Source organism: Homo sapiens, chromosome 2 (genome assembly GCF_000001405.40).
Source record: "Homo sapiens chromosome 2, GRCh38.p14 Primary Assembly".
Classification (NCBI taxonomy): domain Eukaryota; kingdom Metazoa; phylum Chordata; class Mammalia; order Primates; family Hominidae; genus Homo; species Homo sapiens.
In genome coordinates this window covers 69,726,760-69,750,527 of record NC_000002.12, presented here as the reverse complement: position 1 = coordinate 69,750,527, position 23,768 = coordinate 69,726,760, and the positions used below count along the sequence as shown (strand labels likewise).

General features: G+C 43.8%; 1 protein-coding gene across 11 annotated transcripts in view, besides 2 other annotated features; it reads right to left on the bottom strand.

Annotated features, from left to right (window-relative positions):
* The window catches only part of ANXA4 (annexin A4), a 183,305-nt gene that overhangs the window by 76,585 nt on the left and 82,952 nt on the right, over window positions 1-23,768 (bottom strand). For 4 of the 11 annotated variants that reach the window (NM_001365496.2, NM_001153.5, NM_001320700.2 and 1 more), the window contains exon 1: window positions 8,353-8,394. The exons of 4 other annotated variants lie outside the window; for them this stretch is intronic. The gene's annotated coding sequence lies outside the window, so the exon portion shown is untranslated. Of the gene's footprint in view, window positions 1-8,352; window positions 10,302-23,768 lie in introns of those variants that run through there. 3 more of the 11 variants (XM_047444082.1, XM_047444081.1, XM_047444080.1) reach the window with 1 other exon arrangement.
* Window positions 8,126-8,365: a silencer, noted in NCBI's record as "silent region_11599". NCBI's record gives its function as "represses an Ori minimal core promoter by ATAC-STARR-seq in GM12878 lymphoblastoid cells {active_cell/tissue: GM12878}" and the evidence as "EXISTENCE:reporter gene assay evidence [ECO:0000049][PMID:35858748]".
* Window positions 8,576-8,755: a silencer, noted in NCBI's record as "silent region_11598". NCBI's record gives its function as "represses an Ori minimal core promoter by ATAC-STARR-seq in GM12878 lymphoblastoid cells {active_cell/tissue: GM12878}" and the evidence as "EXISTENCE:reporter gene assay evidence [ECO:0000049][PMID:35858748]".

Genomic DNA, 23,768 nt, shown 5'->3' with positions numbered 1-23,768 from the left:
GGTGGAAGGGTCACCTGCGCCCAGGAGTTTGAGGCTGCAGTGTGCCATTGTTGTGCCACTGCACTCCAGCCAGGGTGACAGAGTGAGACCCTGTCTTAGAAAAACAAAAACAAAACAAAACCAAAAGCAGAACTTTCTCCACCATCCAACTAGAGGCACTTTACATTCTTTTGGAACCAGCTACCCAAGTGAAACACACGGCAAGAATGAGCGGTGGCTGCTTCATCTCATTGGAAACTGAAGGATACTTGCATGCTAGTCCTTTGTACACATATAAGGAAGTATATGATCGAATGTTAATTTTAAGGTTGGAAATCTGATAATTATACATTCTTCATTTCTATTTAATTCTCCTTCTTCACAAACAATGTTCAATGGGCAGGTGATATCTGTAACACTATTTTTTTTTAATTAATTGGTAATACATAAACATAACAAATTCAAATAGTACAAATAAGTACATAACAACAAGTCTGTAAGACTTTCCTTCCCCCTCCCCAGGCAACCACTCTTATAATTTTCCTGTGTATCCTCCTAGAAGTATTTAATGCACTAATAAGCATATGAGAATATAGACAGCCTCCATCTTTTTCTTTTTTTTTTTTGAGATAGAGTCTCGCTCTGTCACCCAGGCTGGAGTGTAGGGGCATGATCTCGGCTCACTGCAACCTCCGTCCTGTGTTCAAGCAATTCTTCTGCCTCAGCCTCCCTAGAAGCTGGGATTATGTGCGTGCACTACCACACCTAGCTATTTTTTTTTTTTTAGTAAGAGACGGGGTTTTACCATGTTGGCTAGGCTGGTCTCAAACTTCTGACCTCAAGTGATCCGCCTGCCTCAGCCTCCCAAAGTGCTGGGATTACAGGTGTGAGAGCCTCCATCATTTTTATACACCAAAATGGTAGCATACCACACACAGCTGTACTTTACTTTTTAAAAAATATCTTCACTGTCATTCTATATCAGTTCCTATCAACCTGCACCATTTTTTAATAGCTACATAGTATTACTCTGCATAGATGTTCCATAATTTAACCAGATCTTTACTGATGTTTAGGTTGTTTCTACTATTTTGCTACTACAAACAAGGCTGCAATGTGTATGTCTGCTGGGGCTCAGAAACTGATATCCCAAAATATGGTGCTTTGACATGCTGAACCAAAGACATCCCCCCTCCTACCTCCTGTCTCTCAATCCTCTGTCTCTCCCAAAGTTGTTCTCTGAAGTTCCCTTATCTGACTAAAGTCTGGACCTACCAAAAAAGGAAACCATTACCCCTAGTCCCTTCCCTGAGTTTTCATTAGCTGAATTCATATTGTAGTAGGAAAGACAAAAGTCTGTCAACACACCTGGATGGACTTTTGTCACAAACCATTGTCTGTTCTGTGGGCCCAAGAGGCTCTGTCCCGGGCCATTGTATGTTCTTCGAGCCAGCTGAATTCCCCCAAACATCAGTTGCCACCTCCCTAAAACATCCACACTTCCTCAACTCTCTTTCCTCTAAAAAGTAGGGTGTAGGCCAGGCACAGTGGTGCACGCATGTAATCCCAGTACTTGGGGAGGCTGAGGCAGGTGGATCACTTGAGCCCAGGAGTTGGAAACCAGCCTGGGCAACATGGCAAAACTTCGTCTCTACAAAAAAATACAGAAAATTAGCCAGGTGTGGTGGCATGCACCTATAGTCCCAGCTACCCAGGAGGCTGAGATGGGAGGATCCCCTGAGCTTGGGAGGTCGAGGGTGCAGTGAGCCACGATCATGCCACTACACTCCAGCCTTGTGCAACAGAGTGAGACCCTGTATTAAAAAAAAAAAAAAAAAGAAGTAGGGTATACAAGCATCTGCACCCCACTGGAATATTAAGTAAATTCACTCTGTGATTTTCCTTCATGTATAATATGGGGGAAAATGAATATTCCCCCATAAAATATGTATTAATATAAAATTAATGTGAAATTAATATGTAAAATTAATAATGCAAGTTAACATAATTTATGTAATATAATTTATAAAAGATAGTTATAATTTTATAATTAATATATTAATATAATGTAAAATTAATGAAAAATAATGCAAAATTAATATTCCCCCATAATATATGTATTTTCCGCATGTGTGCCTTTTCTCTCATTTTTTTTTTTCTTTTTTTGAGACGGAAGGAATCTCACTCTGTCGCCCAGGCTGGAGTGCAGTGGCGTGATCTCGGCTCACTGCAAGCTCTGCCTCCCGGGTTCACACCATTCTCCTGCCTCAGCCTCCTGAGTAGCTGGGCCTACGGGCACCCGCCACCATTCCCGGCTAATTTTTTTTGTATTTTTTTAGTAGAGACGGGGTTTCACCATGTTAGCCAGGATGGTCTCAATCTCCTGACCTCGTGATCCACCCGCCTCAGCCTCCCAAAGTGCTGTGATTACAGGCATGAGCCACCGCGCCTGGCTTGCCTTTTCTCTAATTATCTCCTTTTGTGAGTTGATTTTTCAGCAAACCTTCAGAGGGCAAAGGGGATCCGTTCTCTTGTCCCCCACAGTAATTTTATACAATATTTTTAAATAATTTCGGGCCAGTGGTTCATGCCTGTAATCCCAGCACTTCGGGAGACCAAGGCAGGAGGATCACCCAGGAGTTTGAGACCAGCCTAGGCAACATAGTAAGACCCTATCTATGCAAAATTTTTAAATAATAATAATAATAAGCTGGGCATGCCTGTAGTCCCAGCTACTCTAGAGGCTGAAGTGGAAGGATTGCTTAAACCCAGGAGTTTGTGGGTACGGTGAGCTATGATTACACCAGGGCACTCCAGGCTGGACTACAGAGCAAGACCCCCTTTCTGAAAATTAAAAAAGTAACAATTTTGTGTAGTTTTGACTGCAACTCATTACACATTGCTCAACCTGTATCCATGACTGAGTTTAGAAGTGTGTCTATAAACTCCTTGAAATTGTACGAAAAATGTTAAGTGTGTATTTATTTTTATCAAGAAAGGATCCATGGCTTCAGTCAGATTCTTATAAGGGTCTGTGACTCCAAGAAGGGTGAGAACCACTGAGTCAACAGGTGCTTGCACAGCATCAAAAAGTAGCAATAGCAGAAGCTAAAGTTGGGTAAGACTCAGAAAATGTTTTCCTAAGTCCCCTGTAGAGGAGTAAGAGAGAAGATGCTGGGGGCTGATCATGGCAAGGGCTTATAGCTCTAAAGGACCTACTCCAGGGAATATGGTTCAATCGCATATAAATCAGGAGAACTTGTTCCCAGTAATCACAGGGCCCCTTTATATTAGATTCTGTTAATGATTTAATATGCTACCTCTCTGGGGTGGCGGGGAGGTGAGTGCCTAAACCCAGAGGAATGAATTCACAGTGACTGGGCCTGGAGGTCTCTTGAAGACTTGACAAAATGAGGTAGAGGTGGACATGGGGGGGCTTCCTGCTCTGTTACATGTCAGGCTGCTTGTTCTGTGTGTTTCTTCTAGGCCTCAAGGGTTAGTTATTTCGTGGGGAGGAGGAGGAAAATGGAAGGATTTTTCGTTTTTGTTTTTTGAGACAGAGTCTTGCTGTCACTCAGGCTGGAGTGTAGTAGTGCAATTTTGGCTCACTGCAACCTTTGCCTCCTGGGCTCCAGTGATCCTCCCACTTCAGCCTCCCATATAGCTTGGACTACAGGAGTGCACCACCACACCTGGCTAATTTTTATAGTTTTTTTTTTTTCATTTGTTTGTTTGTTTTTGGTAGAGACAGAATTCTCCATGTTGACCAGGCTGTAGAAGGTCTTTTCCGTAGTAATTTACAGTCTGACACTTAGCTGCAATATAATATTCACTCTGTTTTTTCACGTCAAGCAGTGTGGACCAAGAAGCATTATGGCAATTTACTGACATCAAACAACTTGAATCTTTAAAAAGAATTCTTCAAAGGTGGTGGTTCAGGTTCCCATAGCAAAAGCTCTCAGTCCAGTTCAAACAAAACCAAACACTAATAAATTACTCCCGATAAAACCAACAACAAGCCTTAGATAGAAATCCTAAATTCCTCAGGGAATTAATGTAGTAATCTATTCAGTTTCAATTAAGTTAAACAACAAACAAACAAAAAAACCTTTAGTTGGAGCTCTACATTGTTCTAGAGGTGTTAGCACTATAAGACTATGTGGTGAGTTTGCAGGGGAAAAAAAACCTGTTAATCAAATCACAAGGGAGATGTGATTGGTATAATAAAGAACTATCCTTGGCCGGGCGCAGTGGCTCACATCTGTAATCCCAGCACTTTGGGAGGCCGAGGCGGGTGGATCATGAGGTCAGGGGTTTGAGACCACCCTGGCAAACATGGTGAAACCCCGTCTCCACTAAAAATACAAAAATTAGCCTGGCATGGTGGCGTGTGCCTGTAATCCCAGCTACTTGGGAGGCTGAGGCAGGAGAATCACTTGAACCTGGGAGGCAGAGGTTGCAGTGAGCCAAGATCGCACGACTGCACTCCAGCCTGGGTGACAGAGCAAGATTCTGCCTCGAAAACAAACAAACAAATAAACAAACAAAAGAACTATCCTTGAGAAGGAAGGTTTTAGCATTTACCACATTACCTAGAGTTTATACATAATGACCAAAACCTAAGTTTCCTTGGGAAGGTGATATGTTTTTATTAATGCTTTATTCAATTTATGAAGTATGCACATATTCATATAAGTGTTTCTAAAGCATAGTTTCTCAGCCGGGCGTGGTGGCTCACACCTGTAATCCCAGAACTTTGGGAGGCTGATGCAAGCGGATCATCTGAGGTCAGGAGTTCGAGACCAGCCTGGCCAATATGGTGAAACCCCACCTCTACTAAAAATACAAAAATTAGCTGGGTGTGGTAGCATGCACCTGTAGACCCAGCTACTCAGGAGGCTGAGGCAGGAGAATCGCTTGAACCTGGGAGGCAAAGGTTGCAGTGAGCTGAGATGGCACCATTGCACTCCAGCCTGAGTGACAGAGAAAGACTCTGTCTCAAAAAATAAAAAAATAAAAAAAATAAAGCATAGTTTCTCAAAGTGAGGCCTGAATCACAATCATCCAAGGAGCTGCTTAAATAAGCAGAATCTGCATATTGTACAAGCTTCCTGGGTGATTCTGATGCACCCTGAAGTTTGGGAACTATAGATTTAGAAGTTAACTGAGCTTAATCTGCTAACCCTTCCCAGCTCCATCAGAAAAGGGCTGTGAACCTCTGCCTAAACTTGTAGTGACAGAGCTCTCGCCAACATCAAGGCCACCCAGCCTATGGGTTTTAAAAACTACTTCCTCAAATTCAACCAGAGCCCACCACCCAGCTCTGCCAAACACCTCAAAGAGCGAGTTTATTCCCTTATCCACATGTCAAACCCCTCTGGCATTTAGGGCTGCTGGCTAGCATGCACCCCTCACACTCACTGCAAACTTATTTTTTTTTCTTTTTATTTAGAGACAGGATCTCACTCTGTCACCTAGGCTGGAGTGCAGTGGCACAATCATAGCTCACTGCAGTCTCAAACTCCTGGGCTCAAGGGATCCTCCTGCCTCAGGCTCCCAAGTAGCTGGGACAACAGCAGTGTGCTCCCTTTCCAGTTGAAACAGTTCTTGTTCATTCAACCCCATTTCATATCAGCTTGACAAGAAGAAAATAAGAAAAAGGAAAACACTTGTTCAAGATTTAGTTAACAATCTACGAAGCCACAAATCCAAATTACTATGAACCAAGCACTGATGGAGTTATGGTAGGGCAGAGAGGATAAGAGAACAGGCTTTTGTATCCTGGCAGCTGGATTTAAGCTTTCGTTCACAAATGGTCTGAACTTGACCAAGGATTATGATATGGAACCTTGGGATCCTCAGCTGTAAACCAACGTTAATAACCCCATTGCAGGTTGAAGTGAAGATTAGATAAGACAGCCTAGGATGAGTGTTACTCAAAGTTGCTCCAGGGAGGACACTGCAGTGTCTATCAAACTGCCTCCATAAGTAGCCCTAATTGCAGTGAAAACAAACCCTCAAGGGCTAGGTTTGGACCAAATTGCAGCTCAAATCCCAAGCAAAATGTTTTTGAGGTTTCTTGTTTTAGATTTAAAAGGTATACAATTTTTGGATTCTACTTCAAAATATATCTGTGATTGTTTTAGTATAAAAAGTGTTTTTTAATTTCAAATATTTGTGTAAAAATGACACTCAAAGAAAATCTCCTCCTCTTGTTTTTGTTTGTTTGTTTGTTTGTTTTTCAGACAGGGCCTCACTCTATTACCCAGGCTGCAGTGCAATGGTGTGATCATAACTCACTGCAGCCTTGAACTCCTGGGCTTAAGTGAAACTCCCTCCCAGCCTCCCAAGTAGCTGGGACTACAGGTGGGTGTCACCATGCCCAAGTAATTTTTAAAATTTTTGTAGAGACGGGGTCTTGCTATGTTGCCCAGGCTTCCCCACCCCTTGTTTATTCTGGAACTTCAGGTACTCCCTGGCACACTGCCCACAATCCCCAGTGCCTGCCACTCATCTTTATCTCCCTTGGAGAAAAGCAGGCTTAGTCTAAAAGCAGATAATAAATGAGCTCAGGAAAACAAATGAGTGGCTGGACATAAACAAAGAAACATGCCACTGGACATGAGCCTGGGGATGACCAGGAGGCTCACCCTTTAAACACCAAGGCCTGGAGTGGTACATGGCTTGACTGTGCGGGTTACTCTCTAAATTGCTTGCAGAGAAACATTATCCCTAACCAAATGCAAGAACATCTAGGAGGGAAATTCACAGAAGCCCTTGATCCAGTAGTTGTGTGTCTGTGCCTGTCTATGTGTGGGTGGGGGCAGGGGTGTACTTGTGTCTCTATCTTCAATCAACAGAAATCTGACATGAGCTGAATGAGGATGGCCTTGGCCTGATAGGGCTCTGGAGAGTCAGCAGCTCTTGGGTCATGGGGTTATCCGTTTTCTTATCCCTGTCCACTTCCTCTCCTACTTGCTCTTCCACCTGTGTCTGAGAATTCCCTGGCAACTAAAAACCTAGGGTTTGGCCGCTGGGCACGGTGGCTCATGCCTGTAATCCCAGCACTTTGGGAGGCTAAGGCAGGTGGATCACCTGAGGTCAGGAGTTCAAGACCAGCCTGACCAACATGTTAAAACCCCATCTCTACTAAAAATACAAAAATTAGCCAGGCGTGTTGGCACACGCCTGTAGTCCCAGCTACTCGGGAGGCTGAGGCAGGAGAATCTCTTGAACCCAGAAGGCGGAGGTTGCAGTGAGCAGAGATCATATCACTGCGCTCCAGCCTGGGCAACAGAGCAAGACTCCATCTCAAAAAAAAAAATCTAGGGTTTGGTTATCAATAGAGTTACCAGTTACCTCCTGAATAGCTGAGACTATAGGCACGTGGTGGCATGCACCTGTAGTCTCAGCTACTCAGGAGGTTGAGGTGGGTGAAACACCTGAGCCTGGGAGGCAGAGTGAACTGTATCCAGCCACTGCACTCCAGCCTGGGCTACAGGAGTGAGACCTCGTCTCAAAACAAAACAAAACAAAAAATTAAAGGGCAAACAGTAGGGAGTGGAAGGGGGTGGTGGGGTGTCATGGACTGGTGGGCAGGAGAATGGATAACTTGGAGAGGGACACCTTATCTATCCTTCCCACTGTCAGCAGGAGAGAGCAGATGCCCAGTTCCATGTAAAGCACGAGTTATGCAGGACCCACTCTGCTCTGTCAGCTCAGAAGACTTGCATTGCCCCGGGGGTCACTTCTGCCGGTAAATGGTTGAGAAGCCTTCCTCCTTGGCACCAAAGTCTCCAGCTGGTCAAAGTCATGACAAAATGCTGAGACTGCGCCACCAGCCAACTCAAGTCATGGACCCTATAATAATCAGACTCCGATGTGCCGGGCACTGTGCCGAGGGCATTAGACACACGAGAAGGTAAGAAAGTGGTAAGGATCTAGGAGAAAGGAGTAAGTTTCTTAAATGGAGTAAAGAATTAAAAAGTAAACTGTAAGAGGTGTTAGGAGGAGTTAGCTACAGGCAAGATTATCTCGGTCCTTTCTTTTTGATGCAAAGCCTAGCACATGGACTGAATAAATAACTGCCGTGGTCTCTGACCCGCGTCCTGAGCCGTGTAAGCGGCCCTGGATGTCCTGGATGGTGCCAGCGGTTAAGCACCGCGCTCGCCTCCCTCTCGCCCACCCGGAGCGAGTCCAGGGCCCGCTGGCCCCCTCCACCCTGTGGCCGCCCGGGCTTGCCCGCAAGCCGGCGGCGAGCACCCACTCTGGGGTGCAGCGCGGAGCCGGGCATCCCCGCGAGACGCTCCCGGGCCACGCTCCCCGTTCCCTGAGCCCAGGACCCCCGGCCCGGAGCCCCTTTACCCCTCGTACCGAGGCCGGGCTGCGCTCCTCCTCTGCGGCTGCGGAGGTCACACCCTACTCAGGGCCAGACAGCGGGTCTTATCCGGGACGGATCCGCCCCACTGTGGGGTGGAGACTGAGCCCAAGTTCCTGGTTGTTCCTCTGCCCACGAGACCGGAAAATCCCTCTCTAGGGGAAGCGCACCTGGGGCCCCGGGCCGGGACGGCCGCGCCAGGAGCTCTCGGAGAGGCAGGCCTCGACCCCCGGCGGGTCCGCCCTCCACACGTGCCTGCTCCCCAGGCCCGCCCGGTCCCCCGGCCTCGCCCCCTGCCCGGATTGGACAGTGTCCCCAGTATCGCCAGCCCCGCTCCTGGCCGCGCAGGGTGGGAGCAGTTGGATTCTTGGGGTCCCGTTTCCCGGGCGCTCCACACCCTCGGAGGGCCGAGCCCGGGCCACCTCGCCAGTTCCTCCCTGCGCCTGCCGCGCCCAGCTCCGCGCCAAGCCGGAGTCCCGCGGCAAATCCGCGCTTCCCCCCACCTCGGGAAACCGTTCGTCTCCCAACGGCAGGTCGTGCCGAGCCCGTGGCCGGAAAAGTAGAAAGTGAAATCTGAAGGATACATTTCATTCCCCTCTTTCACATGAAAACACACATTCCCAAAAGTTTCCAGCACTTCCCTCTTCCCTGTGCGCCCAGCAGGCCAGGAAAGCTTTGGAGTAGGAGTTAGGAGCAGCCCCGGATCTTTGTACTCCTGTGAGTGACTAAAGTTTAGACACTGTCCGTAGCTCCCAGGTTCGGCTTGGCGCGGCGCTCATCCCTTGTAATAGTTCTGTGTTTTCATATCTGCTTCCCCTGCTGGACGCAGCCTCTTGAAGACACCAACTAGGGCTAGGTCGTCTTTGCACCCATGCCCAGCACCGATTTCGCCACGTAGTGAATGCTTGCAGAATGAATCCGTTGAGTCTATAGGCAAATTCAGTTTTTTTAAAAAACAGAGAATAGCCCGTTTGGGGAGTGTTTTCCATCCGACACATCAAAATCTAAGTGGTTAATGGCACCCTTAAAGCTGGAGAGGTAACATTAAATTATTTCATTAAGATGTAATTTTAAAAGGTGGTTTAATATGGTTTAGAGCACGGGTTTTAGGATCAGACTGATTTGGATACTAAAACTGGTTCTGCCTCTTTTATCTGCATATGATAACTTAAAAAATTAAGGCTGGGCACAGTGGCTCATGCCTGTAATCCCAGCACTTTGGGAGGCCAGGGCAAGTGGATCACTTTAGCCCAGGAGTTCGAGATAAGCCTGGCCAATGTGGTGAAATCCCATCTCAAAAAAAAAAAAAAAAAAAACATATATATAGCCGGGTGTGGTGGCATGCGCCTGTAGTCCCAGCTATTCAGTCGGATGAGGTGGGATAAACACCCAAGCCCGGGAGGCAGAGGCTCAGTAAGCTGAGATTGCGCCACTGCACGCCAGCCTGGGCGACAGAGTGAGACATTGTCTAAAAAAAAAAAAAAAAAAAAAGAGGAAGAAAGAAAAGAAAAAGAAAGAAAAAAAGAAAAGAAAACAAAAAATAAATAAATAATTAGCCGGGTGCATAGCCACGCCTGTAGTCCCAGCTACTAGCCAGGCTGAAGCAGGAGGATCACTCTAAACCCAGGAGTTCAATGTTGCTGTGAGCTATGACTGCACCACTGCACTCCAGCCTGGGCGACAGGGTGAGACCTTGTCTCAAAACAAAAACAAAAACAAAAACAAAACAAAACAAAAAATTAAAGGTCAAACAGTAGGAAAAAAAATGAAATACAGATAATTCATTTCTTAAGCAAGATTAGAGAGACACTGCATCCCTTACAAGCAACAATTAGGCCAGGTGAGGTGGCTCAGACTGTAATCCCAACACTTTGGGAGGCCCAGGTGGTTGCTTGAGGCTAGGAGTTTGGGAGATTATCCTGGGCTACATGGCGAAAACCTGTCCCTAAAAAAGAAAAAGAAAAAGAAAGAAAAAATTAAGCTACATGAAAAAAATAAAGTTTAGGAATGAAGTAGATGCGTTGGCACCCCGCGTAAATAACCTTTACTAGGTGGGTGCATCCAGCCCCAGGTCACTGCCCCTTCATTGCCCCCATCTGCTGACATCTGCGCTCAGACCAGACTGAGGAAGCCATGGCCAGAGGCTAACTTTTTTAGCTTATAAAAGGCCAGGAATAAATCTGTGGTACCCTTCATATGCCAGAGTTCCCATGGGATCAGACTGAGGATAAACTTCATCAGAAACCATATCTTTGCTCAGTTTCTCCCTCTGGCCTATCCTATTTCCCTCACTTACTCGGAGGCTTCCCTCGAGAATACCCTCACTACAGCACTTGCACAAGAATCCTAGGGTCAGGCTCTGTTTCCAGGAAACCTGATCTAAGAGTATTTAAAAAATTAATATAATTGTTGAAATTCCACTCCAAGGAGCCTTTAAATTAAAGATAGGGCTGGGTGCTGTGGCTCACGCCTGTAACACCAGCACGTTGGAAGGCCGCGGTGGGAGGATGGCTTGAGGTCAGGAGTTCGAGATCAGCCTGGGCAACATAATGAGACTCTCTCTCCCACCCACCGTGTCTCTTTAAAAAAAAAAAAAAAATTAGCCAAGCCTAGTGACGCACGCCTCTAGTCCCAGCTACTGGGGAGGCTGAGGCAGGAAAATCACTTGAGCCCAGGGGTTTGAAGCTGCAGTGAGCTATGCCTCTGCACTCCAGCCTGGGTGACAGAGTGAGACTCTGTCCCCACCCCACCCCCCTAAAAAAACCACTTTTTTAAATAAAAAAAAATTAAAAATCTCACAAGGACAAGGGAACAAGAGAGGAAAAATAATAAGAGTTTGGAACCTGGAAAGCACGTGGACAGGTGATAACTGACTTAACAGACCTCAGAAAGCCGACTTCCAAACCAGGAGTAGGGAAAACCGAGAAGCAACATGACAGTAGGATTTCTCGGGATAGGAGAGTTTGCTGCACTGGATGTGTCTGAAAGTGGGTGTGTAGGTGAGACTAAACCCAGGACGATTTCTTGTAAGTCTGTACAAGAAGCAGTCAGCATTCCCAACACTGCACAGTGGCCACGGTCCCTCTTCCACGAGGGTGGATGATTGGAAGGATGTTCTCTGAAGAATCATGCAGTGGCTCTCTGGAATGGGGACATCAGATGTAGTTGAGGTGTTCTGGTTATCTAAGGCTGCCTAAAAAACCATCCCAACACTTGAAGGTTACATAAAACAGTGACCATTATATCTCATGATTTTGTGGGTCTGAATTTGAACTGAGCAATTCTTCTATTCCACCTGGCATCAAGAAAGGTCACTTGGTGTTATCCAGCTGGCAGATGGGCCAGTCTGGAGAACTCACATATTGGGTACCATGATAAGAAGAGCTGGAAGGTTGGTCTCAACTGGCACTGTCAACTAGAGCATCTACACATGCCCCTTCACATGGCAGGCTCAGGGTCAGATTTCCTTCATGGAGGCTCAGGGTTTCCAGAAAGTTTACTCCAAGACATCCAGGCAGAAGTTACAAGCCTTCTTATGCACGCTTGGAAGCTGTTGAACATTATTTCTGTTGCATTCTATAAATCATGCCAGTCACTAGGGCCAGTCTAGATTTAAGGGAAGGGGATTAGGCTCCATCCCTGAGTGGGGAGGGGTGGGAGGGTGCAAAGAATTTGCAGCCATCTTTCATCAAGGCCATGAGATTAACACAAGACTAGGGCTACTGTACTGAAATTGAAGAGCCATATGAAACTTAAGATGATGCCTACTGAGCTGCTTGGTATTCTTCCCGCTTGGCTCCTAGAACTCTGGCAGCCAAGTTCAAACTCACCAGGCTGGAGAGTTTGGAATACTTTTCTTTGGGGAATCTAAGAGGAAAGACCTGAAGAGATGTAATCATTTATGCAATGAAACTGGAGCAACCTGTTGGTAAACTCACCCTTGTCAAGCCCCACCCACTTACACACGCACTCAGGGCTTCCAGGCAGCTTTGTAGACCTCACTCTTAGGGTTGCGAGATAAAATACAGGACACTTAGTTAGATTTGATTTTCAGTTAAACACCAATTAATGTTTTACTAAAATATAAAATACTTATGTACTATAAGTATGTCCAAATATTGCATGAGACATACTTATACTAAAAATTATTCATTGTTTATCTAAAATTCAAATTTAACCAGATGTCCTGTCTTTTTTTTCTTTCTTTTTGTTGCTAAATCTGGCACACTTAAGTAAGAGCAGGCAGCTGAAGGTCATCACAATGTAGGGGAAGGATCTGACATTAAAAACAGAACCCAAAACATGCTAACAGGAAAAAAGAGAAAAGGAAGAAAAAGAGTATAGGGGGAGAAGAAAACTGAGAAATCTATTATTGATCTTCTCTGAGAAAGATCAAATAAAACAGAAAAGCTGGGTGCGATGACATGAGCCTGTAGTCCCTGCTGCTTGGTAGGCTGAGGCAGGAGGACAACTTGAGCCCAGGAGTTTGAGGCTATGACCACACCTGTGAACAGCCACTGCACTCTAGCCTGGGTGACATAGCGAGACACTATCTCAATAAGTAAATAAATAAATACCCTAAAAAAGGAACACTCATAGAACCAAACACAGCTCTTTTAAATTAAAAATCTGATAGCAAAAATAAAAAACTGAGTAGAATGTTAAGAAGATAAAGTTAGAAAATATCCTAGAATGCATAGACAGAAGGCAAAGAGAAGGGAAAGAAATAAGAAAGGATAAGAAGATTAGAAAGCCAGCCTTGGACATCTGGGAAACAGGGGAAGAAATGAATTAAATAATTCAATTATATATTTTGAGAACTAAAGAGCATGAATTTCCACATTGAAAGTGCTCACTGAGCATAGTGCAATGGACAAAACCAGAACCACACCAAGGCAACATTGTGATAAAACTTTAGAAGACTGAGGACATAGGGAAGATCTTACAAGTACCCAGGAGGAAATAAGGTTTCACATAAAGGATCCAGAATCGGAATGGCATCTGATTTCTCAGTAGCAACACATGAAACTGAAAGACAATGGAATAATGTCTTTAAAATGCTGAGAGTAGGCTGGGTGCAGTGGCTCACACCTGTAATCCCAGCACTCTGAGAGGCCAAGGTGAGTGGATCACTTGAGGACAGGAGTTCAAGACCAGCCTGGCCAACTTGTTGAAATCCCATCTCTACTAAAAAATACAAAAATTAGCCAAGCGTGGTGGTGGTCACCTGTAATCCCAGATACTCAGGAGGCTGAAGCATGAGAATCACTTGAACCTGGGAACTGGAGGTTTCAGTGAGCCAAGATGGCACCACTGCACTCCAACCTGAGTGATAGAGCGAGACTCTGTATCTAAATAAATTAAATAAATAAGTAAATAAAATGCTGAGAGAAAATTATTTCTAACATAGATTCTCATACACATACAAATTAGCAGTCAAATGTGGGGGTAAATATATTCCAGACACGTACAATTTCAAAATGTTTATCTCCCATGTACCTTTTCTTAAGAAGTTTTCAGATGGTGAAAGCTTTTCCACCTAAACAAGGACATAAACCAAGAAACTTTTTTCTAAAAAAAGGGAATAGCAGAATGAACAACTGAGAATTGAATGATGGGGAAGGGTAATTAGTTAATACTATAGTTACAGACTTCTAATTTTTCTTAACTATAGAGTACAGCTAACATTTACTTACTGTGTGCACTTACTATGTGCCAGTCAGTATTCTAGGTGCTTTAAATATATGATATTAATGATTTAATCCTCACACGGTTCGATGAGTTAGATACTCTCATAGAGTAGGTGTCAAGAAGTGTTACTATTAATGGTATACAATCATTTATTAATTCTACAAGTTGCATTAAACTTCCTGCTGCAGATTGTATTTTTCAGAATTGCAGCAACAATATGTTCAGTCCCATGTGCTCTTCCAAAAACCCTGCCCCCCACCTCAATCAAGAGGTGGCATCTAAGTCCTTTCCCCTTGAACCCAGGTAGGCTTCTTAGATGGGTTTCTGTGACTGCACAACCAAAGTAATGCTATGTGACTTTCAAAACTGGGTCTTAAAAGGAGACCTGGTCATCTAGCTCTAGGCATCGGTTAGCTCTCTTGCTCAGAACATGTGCCTTTGGAGTATATAAGTACAGCAGCCCTGAAACCACCATGTTGCAGAGATCATGTAAATAGAACCCATGAAAATAAAGAGTCAAGGAGCTTTGGCTGTTTCATGCCCCAGCAGTTTGAGTTTTCCCTGTCTCAGTGCCAGACATGTGACTAGGAAGCCTTCAAGGCCACTCCAGTATGATCGCTGTCTCATGGTAGCCAGTTGACACATTCTGAGTGGGAACTAACTAGCTGAGCCCAGTCAATCACCAGAATCATGAGAGATAATAATAAATGATTGTGATTGTTTCACACCCCTGAATTTTGAGTGTTATTTTTTGGAGCGATAGACAAGCAGAACACTGCCAGGTAAAATTGGGTTTTAGCCTAGACTTCTGAATCTCCTCTCTAAATACTCACTGAAATGGCCCAAGACATGCAAATAGGGGATTTTTTTTTTCCCAGAGTGGCAAGTCTCCCCTCTGATACTGCAGTTGAGTCCAAAGCTCATACTGCTTACTGCACAGCAGCCAACAAGTTGAGAGACAAGGTGTTGGGGCAAGGAAGATGACTTTGTTTCAGGGAGCCAGTAAACCAAGACGATGGTGGACTAGTGTTCTAAAGCACCCTAAGTCGATAGATTTTTAGGCTCCTTTTATGTTGGGGGAAAGGGGAACAGGGAAGGAGTTAAAGTCCAGAGGTGACTGGTGACCACAGACATCTGGGCATCAGCAGGGGTCCAAGGAGGTTGCACATCTTCTTTGTTCATAGTTAACTGCTTGTCAGATCCACCCTTTTCCTATAAATCTTTAAGATAGCATTGTTACTTGTGTATATACTTCCTTACCTCCTCAGAGGTCTGTTTCAAAAGACAGATAGTCATTAGTTCTACAGTTAAAATATAAAATAAATTCTTTCCATGATTAGCTTGGCCTACAGGCAGGAATGAGCAAAAGCAGTTAGCTTGTGAGGTTAGAAGCAAGATGGAGTCAGCTATGTTAGATTTCTTTCACTGTTACAATTCCCCAGTATCAAAGGTTCATTCCATAATCTTGTGGAGTTGGGGACAACAGGATGTTGTCTCTCATTTGGCTACTTTCAGTGGAACTGGGCAGGGTTGACAAGGGGTGACTGTGGAATGACACCTAGAAGGAACAAGTGAATGGGATTGTTTGAGATGTTGCTGAATACCCACTCATCAGTGAAGTTTGCTGGAATAAAACTGTGGGTACACTATACTCAAGTTGACACTACTAGAGGGCCCCTCCTATCTCAAAAACCGGAGAAACAAAGTGCTGGGATTACAGGTTTAAGCCACTGCACCCGGCTGGAAGATGACTTTTTTGGGGGGAACAAGCAAACTGAGAAAATGGTGGCCTAGTGTCCTAAAGAATCATCTTAAGTTCATGGATTTTTTTGGCTCCTTTTATGTTAGGGGAAGGGAGAACAGAGAGGGGTTAAGGTCTAGAGGTGACTGGTGACCACAGACATCTGGGCATCAGCAGGGCTCCAAGGAGGTTGCAAAACTTCTTTGTTCATGGTCAAATGCTTGTCAGGTCCACGTTATTGCTATAAATCGTCAAGACAGCATTGTTTAAATGTTGTGTGCATACTTCCTTATCTCCTCAGGGGTCTATTTCAAAACAGAGGTAATCATTAGTTCTACAGTTAAACTATAATCTAAATTCTTTCCATGATTAGCTTAGTCTACATGCAGGAATGCACGAAGGCAGTTAGCTTGTGAGGTCAGAAGCAAGATGGAGTCAGCTATGTTCGATTTCTCTCACTGTTACAATATTGGCAATGGTAGTCTCAGGAGGATGGCCAGGCCACGTCCAGTCTGGCTGCTGGCCAGTGAGGAGGAGAGACTAGAGGCCAGATAACCTTTGGCTCCTTGGGACAGTGGGTTAGCAAAGCCTTGAGAAGAAACTTTGCCAGGGTGACTTTCCTTGCCAGATGGCTTCCTCCACCATCCTTTCAAGCTGCTGGAAGGTACCCAACCCTGCAGCCTAGGATAATGAGAGGAAGATTCTAAGAGCATCAAAATAGACAGGCAGGGAGCCAAAAAGAATTAGCTCATTGATTCAGTAAGGCCAGATTAAAAAAAAAAAATAGCTCATCCCATATTGGAACAAATGCAAAGCATGGATAGAGTTTTCAACCTTCAAGGATGAGTAAGCATAAAAAATTATATAGAACTGTAAAAAAAATTCGGGAACATAAAAAACATAACACCTAAGAGGTCAAAGAAGAAAGTATTTTTTAAGTTTTACAGTATGAAGCAAAAGTAAATTTTAAACAGCTTCTGCTTTGTCTTTCATAGATTAAAACAGGCCAAAAATGGACAAATCTGAATATTATTATTCATAAGGCAGAATTAATATTTATGAACTGGACTAGAGTTCACAGAAAACACCTTATTTTCTTTTCCTGTCTTTTCTTTTTTTTTTTTTTCTAAGACAGGGTTTCACTCTGTCACCCAGGCTGGAGTGCAGTGGTGCAATCACTGCTCACTGAAGTCTCAACTTCCTGTGCTTAAGTGATCCTCCTGGCTCAGCCTCCTGAGCTGGGCTCCTCAGCTGGGACCACAGGCATGCCCACCATGCCCACCTAATTTTTTCTATTTTTTGTAGATGGGGTCTCACTATATTGCCCAGATTGGTCTCAAACTCCTGGGCTCAGGTGATCCTCCAGCCTCAGTCTCCCAAAGTGTTGGGATTACAGGTGTGAGCCACCAGGCCCAGCCAAATTGCAGATTTTTACCAACAGTTTTCTGGTGTTAGATCTAAGATGACAGCTGTTATAGCAGATTAATAGCTTAACACCAATAATTCTTCATGTTTTATTTTCCAGTAAATCTTAAGACTAATTCAGATGTTAATTTTCATTAAGTAAATAAACATTTTGCCTCAATATCCCTAAAGATGAAAATTTACTCTATCTACAAGAACAAGCGTTTTTAATAATGCTTCATTTTACTATTAAAGGCTATTTTTTTCAGTTGTCTACTAAACATTTACAAAAACTGACAACATATTTATTTGCAAAGAAAACCTCACTAAATTCCAAAATAAAAATAGGAGTTTGAATCTCAACTTTACCATTTCCTAACTGGTGACCTTAAGAAAGTCACAGATCATGGTCTCCAAGGAAAAGGTGGCACCCACAGCTTGCTCCACATCCAACCTGGGCCTCTAAATAATGTATGGCATAGCAAGGTAACTGATAAGCAACATGACTTCGATCAGCACCGCTTCTTGACTAAGGTCCGCTTTTGGCACTGTAGTAATCTTTTTTTTTTCTTTTTTTGAGACAGAGTTTTGCTCTTATTGCCCAGGCTGGAGTGCAATGGTGCGATCTCAGCTCACTGCAACCTCCGCCTCCTGGGTTCATGTGATTCTCCTACCTCAGCCTCCAGAGTAGCTGGGATTACAGGCATGCACCACCACGCCCAACTAATTTTTTATTTTTAGTAGAGACGGGGCTTCTCCATGTTGGTCAGGCTGGCCTCGAACTCCCGACCTCAGGTGATCCGCCTGCCTTGGCCTCCCAAAGTGCTGGGATTACAGGCGTGAGCCACCACGCCCAGCCAACACTGTAATACTCTTTACTCGATGAACTCTACTGCTGTTTGGGAAGAGGTATTGCCCAGTTTATATCACTTCTAGATATCAGATATTAGATATTCTCAGAACTTCTCGTTTACCTGATCTACAGACACAGCGAGCGACACCCACAACCCCACTCCCATCAAGGGTAAAATCTAATATTCTACAGAACACATAACTAAGGGCTGGGCGCGGTGGCTCACGCCTGTAATCCCAGCACTTTGGGAGGCCGAGGCGGCCGGATCACGAGGTCAGGAGATTGAGACCATCCTGGCTAACACGGTGAAACCCCATCTTTACTAAAAATACAAAAAATTAGCCGGGCGTGGTGGCGGGCGCCTGTAGTCCCAGCTACTCAGGAGGCTGAGGCAGGAGAATGGCATGAACCCAGGAGGAGTTTGCAGTGAGTCGAGATCGTGCCACTGCACTCCAGCCTGGGCGACAGAGCCAGACTCCATCTCAAAAAAAAAAAAAAAAAAGAAAGAAAAGAAAATGTAACTAAGAAATAGCATCAGCATTTGGTATTTCTGTTTTTTCCTGCCCCAAAGGAGCGACACCCTTTCTTTCCTTCCCCAAAACCTGTTTTCCTTGCCATGAACTGCTGCAGCTCAACAAAAAGAGAAACCTTATTTGACCACAGGGAGGTTCATCATTTGCATCATATCAGTATAAAGTTCAGCATAGTTTGACAGTCAAATAATGCATTTGCAGATCATTGCTTCCAAGGAAGTGTCCTACCCCACCCTTTACTCAGATGCATGACAGCTGACAAGGAAGCCTTTTTTAATTCAATTATTGGCTTTTTAAAAAACATCTGCTTTTTGAGGTTGTGCCCTTCTGCTGCTGAGCCGCAGCTCATATTCAAGCGTCATCAAACCAAGCCATCATTATGAAAATAAGCTCTGATCATAGGGGTCAACATGGTCTCATTTGTTTTCACAAATACTCTAGGTGGATGTGGATTGCGCTGAAGTGACTGCAGTTAAGTTGGCTATTTTCAAAAACAAAGCAGCTGCAAATAGTCCAGGGCGAGAGTCAGCATCATCACTCAGCTCTTTCATACAGGTTTTTGTAGTAGAGCTTTCAGCTTGAGCTAAGTTTGTGGCCACTGCTAAGTTCGAGCAAGTCTGGGTAGGTCTGGCAGATGGATAGAAAAGTCCACTAGAGGTCTGAGAAGCCTCATGCAAGAAGGGAAGGGAGCCAGTTGTGCTGAAGTTAATTAACAAAGACCCAGTCATTGCAGGAGACTCCAGACCCCAAGAATAAAACTAGGACCCAGCCTCCAGGAAATAAGTCTCAAACATTGAGTGGGATGGAACCAGGCCCTATGTTGTTACCTTCTGCATCCTGGTAGACACAGGGAGGCCTACTGGTGACTACAACAAACTCATGAATTTTAATATAAATAGTGACATCGTGGCTTTTGGCTTCTTGAGGCCAGCACTCCTCAGGGCCAGCACTTCAAACCCATCGACCTAAAAGGCAGGTTTGGGGAACTGTTGGTGGAGACATAATTTTGCCTTACCCAGCAGCACTTCCCTGTCATCACTACTGGATGGAGAAAGCGAATATATGACATTAGTAGTGCCTCCTCCCGTTCCTACATTGGCAGTAGGCCTTGCTAATGGGTCATTATCAAGCAATCCCTAAGCAGCAGAGATTACTGCAGCTGTTAGGTCAATTTACCAATCTTCCATAGATTCAACCAGTAAGGAGAAAACACACCCAAACAGATTTAGACAGTTTCTTACAGTGCAGCTGGCAGCATGAGCAGCATGTTTACGTAGGTTCTCTTTTACCTCCAAGTCGCATAGGGGCCATGTGGAGGCAGGCCCAGGTGGATACTGAGCAGACAGTGGGTCTATGTCACAGCTGAAGAACATTGAACCTCAGAAACCCCCATCTTAGAAGGAGACTGCTCACAAATTTGCTTATCCTCCTGGATGTTGTTGTTGTTAAGACTGAATTTCATTCTTGTCGCCCAGGCTGGAGTGCAATGGTACAATCTCGGCTCACTGTAACCTCTGCCTCCCAGGTTCAAGCAATTCTCCTGCCTCAACCTCCCAAATAGCTGGGATTATAGGCATGCACCACCATGCCTGGCTAATTTTTGTATTTTTAGTAGAGATGGGGTTTCCTCATGTTGGCCAGGCTGGTCTCGAACTCCTGACCTCAGGTGATCCACCCACCTTGGCCTCCCAAAATGCTGGGATTACAGGTATGAGCCACCATGCCCAGCCCTCCTGGGTTTAAAAAACAGAATTTTTTTTTTTTTAAATAAAAGTAGAGGTGCGGTCTCACTATGTTGCCCAGGGTGGTCTCAAACTCCTGGCCTCAAGCGATCCTCCCGCCTTGGCCTCCCAAAGTGCTGAGATTACATGTGTGTGCCATCGTGCCTGGCCCCTCCCTGGAGAATGTAAGCAAATCTTCAGGGAATAAAGGGCACGGTCTCTAGCTCTGTTACCCTGGAATATCTCAGGAAGAGGCAGCTCCAAATCTCTTTGCAGGGAGTCACTATCTTTATCTTTCCAAGACTGTCTGTTATGCAAATATCTGTGAATCAAACTGTCAATGCCTTTTGCTCAGAAGGTTTCCAGAAACACAGAAGCCATGGAGAATTATCTCCCAACAATTATAACATCTTTTTATAAACTGAACACAGTACATTTTATTCACACCCCAGTAATAAAAACTAATATGATGAAAATGTCACTGTAAATCACTTCGTGTGAAATATAAAAATCCATGAACAGTGTATAAAAATAATGACTATGAAGTGATATCTTTCTGGAAGTTCTTAACTTTATCCTGGGATTTCCCGAGAATAGCATTGTGGACATTTTGGGCTGGATGTTTCTTTGTTGTGGGGCGGCTGTCCTGGCATTGGAGGATGTTAGGCAGCATTTCTGCTTATCCACCAGACACCTGTAGCACCACCCCTAAGTTGTGCCAAAAATGTCTCCAGACATTGCCATACATGTCCTGGGTGACAAAAATAGCTTCCCATTGAGAACCACTGCTCTATGTTACTCTCTTCTCGTGTAGTCATGTTTTAAAAATAAATTGTCAAACATCAAATGCCTAGGAATAAATCAATGGAAGTTGTATAAGACCACTACACTGAAAATTATAAGACGTTATTGAGGGCCGTGCATGGTGGCTCACACCTGTAATCCCAGCACTTTTGGGAGGCTGAGGCAGGTGGATCACTTGAGGTGAGAAGATAGAGACCAGACTGGCCAACACGGTGAAATTCTGTCTCTACTAAAAATGTGAAAATTAGCTGTGCATGGTAGCTTGCACCTGTAGTCCCAGCTACTTGGGAAGCTGAGGCACGAGAATTGCTTGAACCCGGGTGGTGGAGGTTGCAGTGAGCCGAGATCGTGCCACTGCACTCCAGCCTGGGCGACAGAGCAGACTCCATCTCAAAAAAGAAAAATATTATTGAGAAAAATAAAGAAGATATAATGGAGGAAGGTACTTATGATTTAATATGGTAAATATGTAATGCTCCCAAATTGATCTATAAATTCAAATGAGCCAAAAAATCTCATCAAGAGTTTGAGGTATGTATATAGAAACTGACAAACCTATCCTAAAGTTTAGACCAAAATGCAAACGACAAAAAGAGCAAAGTCTATCTTGAAGAAAAAGATCAATGCCAGAGATATAAAACTATCAAGACTCAACAATATGACACTTAAAGTCAGTGTGGTATTCATATACAGATAGAGAAATAGACAAACGGAATGGAAGACAGAGGGCAGAAACAGGCCCTCACCTTTCTGGTCACCTGATTTATGACAAAGTTGGCAGTGTAGTGAGGAAAAGACAGACTTTTCTATAAATGATGCTAGATCAGTTGGATATCATGTGAAAAAATAATGAATTTTGATACCTATTTAAATAAGAATGAATCACAGATAGATTGGCCATTCAAACATGAAAAGGAAAACACATTTTTAGAAGAACACATAGGTTAATATCTTCATGACCTTGTGGTAGGTGAAGGTTTGATTTCTTAAACTGGACATAAAAAAGACTAACCATAAAGAAAAATAAATAAATTCAGTTATATTAAACTTAAGAATTTCTGCTCATCAAGACACTAAGAGAGTGAGTAAGCAAGACTTAGAGTAGGATAAGATATTTACAATACATGTATCAAAAAAGGGCTCATAGCAAGATCATATAGAGAAGCAACGAAGTAAAAGCACTATGGAGCAAAAGCATGAGAAGAACAGGATATTTACATATTGCCTCATTATATATTTATTAACTACAAGAGAAATAAAATAGTAACAGTACAGTGGAGACACAAGACAGATACCACCTTAACCAAATGATCCAAGCTAACTTTACCACTGATAAAGTATATTGACATTGTGTTCTTCCTGATATGAACTGAGAAGGATACATTATTTCTTGCAAAGATCCATAACCATATTTAACTTGAGTGTTTCCTTTAGACAAATACAAATTGAGGGCACTTTACAAACTAACTGGCCAGTTCTCTTCAAAGACGTTAAGGTCACGAAAGACAGACTGAAGAACTGACTTAGGTTAATGGAGACTTAAGGAGACATGGCAAGTAAATACAATGTGTGATCCTGGCTTGATTCCTGGCCCAGAAAAAGACATTAGCGAGACAATTGTTAAAATCGTAATAAGCTCTGAAGATGGGTACCAATGTTAATTTCTTGATTTTGAGATTAGCTACAGTTATGTAAGATATCGAGATATCAAGCCAGATGAAGGAAACACAAGATTTTTTGTAGGCTTTTTCCTGAGGTCTAAAATTATCTCAAAATGAATAACTAAAAATAAAGAAAAAATTAAATTTTTGTAAAGTGCCTATTCAAATATTTTGCAGTAAATTGGTAAAAGACTTCAACAGCACTTTATAAAACAGAATATCAAAATAGCCAATATAGCACATTAAAAAAAAATGCTCAACTTGATTAGTCTTCAGGGCAATGCAAATCAAAGCCTGGTGAGATACTGCTGCACACACCAGAATGTCCAAAATGAAAAAGACTAGTTATACCAAATGTTATCAGATTGGAGCAACTGCTACTCTATACACTGCTGGTGGGGATGTAAATTGGTAGAACCACACTGAGAAACAGTTTGGCAGCATCAATTTAAGCTGAACAAATGTGTGTCCTATGACCCAGCAATGCGTAACAGTGTTCATGAAAAGACATTTTCAAAGAATTTTATAGGAGCATTATTTGTAATAACTAATAACCGAAATAATTTACATGTCCATCAATAGTGAAACGAGGCTAGGCACAGTGGCTCATGCCTATAATCCCAGAACTTTTGGAGGCCAAGGTGGGAGGATTGCTTGAGCCCAGGAGTTCAAGGCCAGCCTGGGCAACATAGGGAGAGCCAGTGTCTAAAAAAATTAGCTGTGCGTGGTGGTGCACACCTGTAGTCCCAGCTACTCGGGAGGCTGAGGTGGGAGGATCACTTGAGCCCAGAAGTTCTAGGCTGCAGTGAGCCAGGATCATGCCACTGCACTCCAGCCTGGGCGACAGAACAAGACCCTGTATATATATATATTTGCTTGTGTGTGTGTGAAATGAATAGACCGTGGCATAGTCACATAATGGAATACAATACAGCAAGAGAAATATCAAACTACAAGTACACACAACAACGTGGATGTTAATATTGTGTGATGAAAGCCAGGCA